This window comes from Homo sapiens, chromosome 18 (genome assembly GCF_000001405.40).
Source record: "Homo sapiens chromosome 18, GRCh38.p14 Primary Assembly".
Taxonomy (NCBI): domain Eukaryota; kingdom Metazoa; phylum Chordata; class Mammalia; order Primates; family Hominidae; genus Homo; species Homo sapiens.
In genome coordinates, this window is record NC_000018.10 from 48,867,098 (window position 1) to 48,873,673 (window position 6,576).

A 6,576-nucleotide genomic window follows, 5' to 3' on the forward strand; every position below is an offset into this window, starting at 1 on the left:
CCCATTCACTGGGCATCCCCTGGCTCCCAGGCAGAGTCCTGAGTCTCCTGCAACCCATGGGGGCATCCATTCCATGGGTGGAATCAGTCCCAGGTGACAGATTAAGTCTTACAATATGGCCAGGCCAGGCACAGTGGCTCAAGCCTGTAATCCCAGCACGTCGTGAAGCTGAGGCAGGAGGATCACTTGAGCCCAGGAGTTTGAGACCAGCCTGAGCAACATGACAAGACCCCATCTCTACAAAAAAATATATATATTTTTAACTAGCTGGTCGTGATGGCACACACCTGTAGTCCCAGCTACTCAGGGGGCTGAGGCAGGAGGATCACTCGAGCCCAGGAAATCAAGGCTGCAGTGAGCTGTGGTCGCACCACTGCACTCCAGGCTGGGTGACAGAGCAAGACCTGTCTCTAAAAAAAAATAATAAATAATATGGCCAGGAGGCCAGGCATGGTGGCTCACGCCTGTAATCCCAACACTTTGGGAGGCCAAGGTGGGTGGATCACTTGAGGTCAGTAGTTCAAGACCAGCCTGGCCAACATGGTGAAACCCCATCTCTACAAAAATACAAAAAAATTAGCCGGGCATGGTGGCGCAGCCTGTAATCCCAGCTACTCGAGAGGCTGAGACAGGAGAATCGCTTAAACCCAGGAGGCAGAGATTGCAGTGAGCCAAGACCGTGCCATTGCACTCCACCCTGGGTGACAGAGCGAGACTTAATCTCAAATAATAATAATAATAATAATAATAATAATAATAATAATAATAATAATAATAATATGGCCAGGATCCCACAGCTGACCTGAAGCAGAGATGGTTCAAGGGTGATGCTCTGTCTCCTAGTCTCATCACCTGTGCCCACGTCTTTCAAGTGAACCCCTACTTGGGTCCCACCTTGTGCTGGGGGTGCTATAAGGAAATAAGCAAAGGAGACAATGCCTTAACCACCTTGGCATGGTCAGTCTCCTGGGAGCTGGAATTTCCAGACAACAGACAACCTCTCATAGGCCTAGCCCAACTCTGGGTAGGTCCTGGTGCAGGGTCCCTGCCTGTGGCATCTGCTGTGCTACAGAGAGCCAACACCTGGCCCAGGCCTTCCAATGGGGACCATTCAGGGCTTGACGAAGCTTCACTTTCCAGCCCCAGAGAGGAAGGACCACCATTCCCCTCCCTTCCCAGAACAAATCAGGTGAAACCCAAATACCCACCTAGGCCAAAAGAAGAAAACTTCCAGTGGGAACCAAGACAGGCTAGCAAGGTGAAAAGAGACTTATTCTATAGCATTTCCCCCAAATAACAAAAGTGTGATTAAAGCAGGTGAGAAGCCAATTTTAACAACACTTGTATGCATACACAGACCCTTGCAATTCTGCACACTCTAAAATCTTACTTTTTGTGGCTTAGAATGTTTCAGCACTCAGTGGAGTTTCTGCAGCCAGCAGTCACACCTACAGAGTTTCAAATCCGTGTAAACGCTGTGTCAGCCTAACCACCAGTGTGATTCTGTGTCATTCGGGGGCAAATGTTGATGTTTCTTGGGTAAGTGAAAGATCATGCAGAGAGCTTCCGGAAGACCATCCTTAGGAGCTGAACTGAAAGAAGGCCTCTCAGAGGGGCCACAGCCTCCTTCTCCCTGTGCTAGAGACAAGTCCCTAATAGCCATCTATGCTCAATGGGACTCAATGTGTCTCGGGAGCCTGGAAGCCTTTTTCTGCCCCATTCCTGACATCATGCCACCTACACATCAGACACAAGGCACCCGGCCCACTCCATCACCTCCAGTTCCCAGAAATGTGCAGGGAGCTCAGGTCAGGGCTCTTGAATCTCCTGCTGACCCAGCAGAACATACGACACAAAGGCATCTCAAAGGCAAACAAAATGGGTGGGAGGGAGGCTCATGGCCCAGGCGCGTCATCAGTGCAGTCCTGTTCAGCCAGGGCAAGGCTCAGCCGGGTGCAGCTTAGAGGAAAAGGAGAAGTGCTGAGGCTGAGCAGGTGGGGAGGGACTGTAACTCATGAGGTGTGTCGCCAGATTGGAAAGGGGGCTCAGGGTCCGTGTTGCCTAGCTACTGCCATGTCACTGTGTGACTAACAAGCCCCAAATCTCAGGAACTGCAACACAGAGGTTCACTGTTCCTGATCACAGGTCTGCAGATGGGCTGTCTCTGATCCACACCATGGCCTCCCTTTCTGGTGAGAAGGGGCAGAGCTCAGCATGCAGTGAGTCACAGAAGTTAGAAAGCACGTGCCTCTGTCTACTGCCACCTCTTTCAGGAAGCTCTCCCTGACTGCTCCCTAGTCAGGGTTACAGATCACCCCTCGGGGCTCCCACAGCTGCCAGGGATGTTCTGCCACAGTCCTGCTCCCTGGGCATGGCCATTGGTGTGTAGATGGCAGATGCCTGCTGAGGATGAGCGTGACTTCGTCCCCTCTGTCTCCCCAGCACTAAGCCAGGGCCTGGCCCCAGCAGGTGCCCCATAAGCATGTGGGGGATGAAGGGAATGGTCCAGGTACTAAGGGACTGAGGGGCTTGGGGAGGGAAGAGCCAGCTGTGCCTGGAGCCACATACTCGAGGCAGGGCACTCAGGGCCAGGGAGGAATACAGGGTGGGGCACGGGCAGGGCCTTCCAGTGGGGAGGGCTGGGGGTCCTCAGGGGCCTGATGTCTCACTGTCTAGAGAGGCCTGGAGGTGGGTGGGGAGTGCTCTGTGGTCATGGGTGCCAGAGTCTTAGCCAGTGCGGAGGGCACCTTCGTGCCAGTTAGGAGGTGCCCTTCCTCCAGGTGCCCAGCCCTGCCCCAGAACCCTGGGAGCTGCCTCAGACCCACAGCTGGGCACCCTTGTGTAGGACACAACCTGGGCGCTGCATGTGAGACTCTCTGGGTGTGGAGTGTGACTGTGTTGTGTGGGGGTGCGGGATGTGGTATATACGCACACACGCAGGGAGCGGGGTATGTGTGGTTGGAGAGGGTTGCGTTGTGTGTTGTGTGGGGTGCGGGATGTGGTATATACGCACACACGCAGGGAGCGAGGTATGTGTGGTTGGAGAGGGTTGCGTTGTGTGTTGTGTGGGGTGCGGGATGTAGTATATACGCACACATGCAGGGAGTGGGGTATGTGTGGTTGGAGAGGGTTGCGTTGTGTGTTGTGTGGGGGTGGGGGATGTGGTATATACGCACACGTGCAGGGAGCGGGGTATGTGTGGTTGGAGAGGGTTGCGTTGTGTGTTGTGTGGGGTGCGGGATGTGGTATATACGCACACATGCAGGGAGCGGGGTATGTGTGGTTGGAGAGGGTTGCGTTGTGTGTTGTGTGGGGTGCGGGATGTGGTATATACGCACACGTGCAGGGAGCGGGGTATGTGTGGTTGGAGAGGGTTGTGTTGTGTGTTGTGTGGGGGTGGGGGATGTGGTATATACGCACGCACGCAGGGAGCGGGGTATGTGTGGTTGGAGAGGGTTGCGTTGTGTGTACATGGTGTGAGAATGGAGAATTAGTGTGGTATGCGTGTGGTGTATGTGTGTGTGCTGTGTGTGGGTGTGTGTGATGTGGGGTGTGTGAATTTGTGCTGCACTTTGCAAGCCTCCCAGGCTGGGTGGCCTCTGTGCAGGGAGAGCTGGGAGGCCTAGCTGTGAGGGTGCCACGTCCTAGAGCCAGAAACACAGGTGTCTCAGTGGCCAAGCCTTCGCCTGCCCCTGGGAGTGGGGCCGGCACGGGGTCTGCAATGGCAGAGAACGGGCTGAAGGTCCTCAGTGGGCAGGCACAGCTGGCCTCCCCTCACGAAGGCCCTTCCTTCCAGAACTCTGGACTATCCCTTAGTTAGGGAGGGAACGGTCTGGACAGACTGAGCCGAGGAAAATATTCCTGGTCAAGGGATGCCCTCAGCTTGAGGCGCCTGGTCGGAGGCTCAGAAGAGATCTGGGGGAGATGCCGGGTCCACACAAGGATGATGTTCTGGAAACCGGAACTGCCCAACGGTGGAGGAGGCCGCTTCCTAAGGGAGCAAAGCCCCACACCCTATGCCCTTGATGAGTTCCAGCAACACTGCGGCCCCCTCAGCCATGGTGTTGGAGGAATCTCCCCTTCACGGTGCAGGGCATGGGTCAGAACACGACCCCACAGACCCCTCACCCTCCTGGGTTCTATAGAAGCAGTGGGGATGCCGGGGCCACCTCCTTCCATCAATTGCACCTGCTGCCCCTCCCCAGAAGTTCCTCCATCGCTTTTCCCCAGTGGCCCCTCCAAATACTCCAGGATACCAGGATGTGGAAGGCACTTTAAAGCCACCCTCTCGTTTTACAGATGAAGACCCTGCGGCCCTTACAGGGAAGGGACTCGCCCAAGGTCACAGAGGTACAGCTAACACCACGGGCACGCCTCGAACCAGGCACCCACCTAAGCGCCCTCATCTCCTCACGCCACGCCCGAGGTGGGACCTTCTCCATCTTACACAGGGGAGGACTTGGCCTGGGGTTGAGAGAGGCCAACATGGCCCAGGTCACAGCACTAGAAAGACGGCAGGATTCTCACAGGGTCCCCTCTGCTGCCAAGGCCCTGCTGCTGACCCTGACGCACACACTCGGTGTCCCCCACACAGCGATGAATCAGATACGTCCACAGAGAGAGGTAGGAAGAGGTTTAGTGAGGCCAGGCAGCTCACTCGGCTTCTTTGAGCCTCGGTTCATCTGCTGAAAATGGGAATGCACAATCCCATCTTGCTAGACTGTTTGGAGAAACAGTGCATGAGCTTTGAGTCCTCCACAAATTACGGCTCTCTTCCCTCTTAACCACGAGACTCGCCCGCCTTGCTGGGTCTGTCTGCTGCTGATTCTCTTGGGCAGTGGGCGTGCAGTAAAGCCTATCTGCTCTCCCGCTAGGACCCACTGGGACTGGGGTCAGTGGACAGGTGTTGGTGTGGGGTTTGGCTGAACTTCTAAGCACTTTTGAAGCTGAGACTTAGGTTGCTGGCCTCACCATCCTCAGTGAAGCACTAACAAATGAGCCAAAGAGTCACCCACCAAACGCCCCACTAAGCACCCATCAGCTGACCCTGAACACCTGCTGGGTGCAAGACAGAGCTGAGCCCTGCCCTGGGAGATACAGAAGGAAGACACACCTGCCCTACCCTCAAGCCGAGTGTTGCCACTCTAATTGAAGATTTAAGGCCAGTCGCTGTCCAGGTGAATGCCACAGTCCCTTCCTGTGTTCCCAGTGGGGAACCTGGCAGGCGGCGGAGAGGGCGGCATGTAAAGAAAAGCCCACAATGAGGTGTTCTGCTGACCACACACAGCTGCACCTTCTGGTGATGGAGTCGTTAATACCTGGAGAGGGGGCCACCCAGCGAGGCAGTGGCGTAGGGACCCAGTCTCCTGGTGGGGAGCTGACCCAGCACACGAGGTCGGCCTCAGGGTGGGCTGCCAGTGTGCAAACAAGTGCTGCCTGGGGTCAGGCAGACAACGGTCAAAGTCAGAGTCTCTTTATCAGAAGAAGACAGGAAGAATTAAGGGAGACATCTTCCTGCAGCATGCAGAATGGATTAAAGGGGAGAGGAACGGTGAGGAACAGCAGGAAAACCAGTTAATTGGCCAGGTGGGAGGCACCTCCATGGGGGAGGAAAACTAAAGAGGGTTCTGCGGGCTCTGATGTTCAGCCAAGGCCAGCTGTCTCCATCGCGGGCGCCTGGCATGGTGCAGAATGAGGCGTGACACAGACCTTCATTTTCTGTAGCTGTAATCTACCTCTTTAAATAGCAAAACTTTTTATTTTCATTTTTTGGTAGCAATCTTTCCCCGGGGGATCCTCCACATCCCAAATTTCTCAGAAGTCAGCGTGTGTTGACTTCCTTGGTGACTCAGGTCCTTCTGACAAGGCTAATGAGTAGACTAGACTGCAACACGGGGTTAGCCTCAGGATTGTCAAGGTAGACCCCGTCTGCCTTGCTTTTTTAATTACTGGATCTGCATTTTACAATTGTTCTCCCTTCTCTGTCATCATAAAATTCTTCTTACTACTATCAGTATACCTGTTGTGGCCTGAGAAACTAGACCACCAAACTTACCCAAACTATTTGCCGAGTAAGAGGAAATAGGCCCTGAGTGAGGGCCTGAGGGGCATTTTCATACCAAAAAGCATGAGCTTTCCTGCATGAATGGGGGTTCGAAGCCACCCATTGATCTGCTCAGAAACCATCTTTGCCTGCTTTCTCATCCCCGGTGACTTTCAAAAGTATGGGACCTGCCAGATAAGAAATGTTTTGCTGACCTAGAATTAAAGTTGTGCTAGTCCCTGGGGTCCTCCTGAGGGGCCCCTGAGGTTGGCTGGGGTTGGGGATGGGACTTATTCTAGTTTTCCAGGGAGGAAGGCTGAGCCTCAGAGGATCAGAATGGGCCAAGATCAGACAGTGAGTCAGGGTGAGTCATGCGGCCTCGAGGCCACACCACACGTCCCAGCATCAGAGCTGGGCAGAAGGGAACTGGAGGCCCCTGCTCTCAGGGAAAGGGCACTGGATTGAGAGTCGGCAGAGAATTCTAGTCCTGCTTCCACCCCAACCAGCTAGGTGCTCATGAAAGTGTTCTTTGG

The 6,576-nt window shown here is 54.6% G+C and overlaps 2 annotated features.

The window, feature by feature from the left end:
• Positions 1,592-1,701: an enhancer, noted in NCBI's record as "active region_13301". NCBI's record gives its function as "activates an Ori minimal core promoter by ATAC-STARR-seq in GM12878 lymphoblastoid cells {active_cell/tissue: GM12878}" and the evidence as "EXISTENCE:reporter gene assay evidence [ECO:0000049][PMID:35858748]".
• Positions 6,282-6,576: an enhancer, noted in NCBI's record as "tiled region #12870; HepG2 Activating DNase unmatched - State 10:DNaseD, and K562 Activating DNase matched - State 8:EnhW". NCBI's record gives its function as "activates a minimal TATA promoter and a strong SV40 promoter by Sharpr-MPRA in HepG2 and K562 cells {active_cell/tissue: HepG2 | K562}" and the evidence as "EXISTENCE:reporter gene assay evidence [ECO:0000049][PMID:27701403]".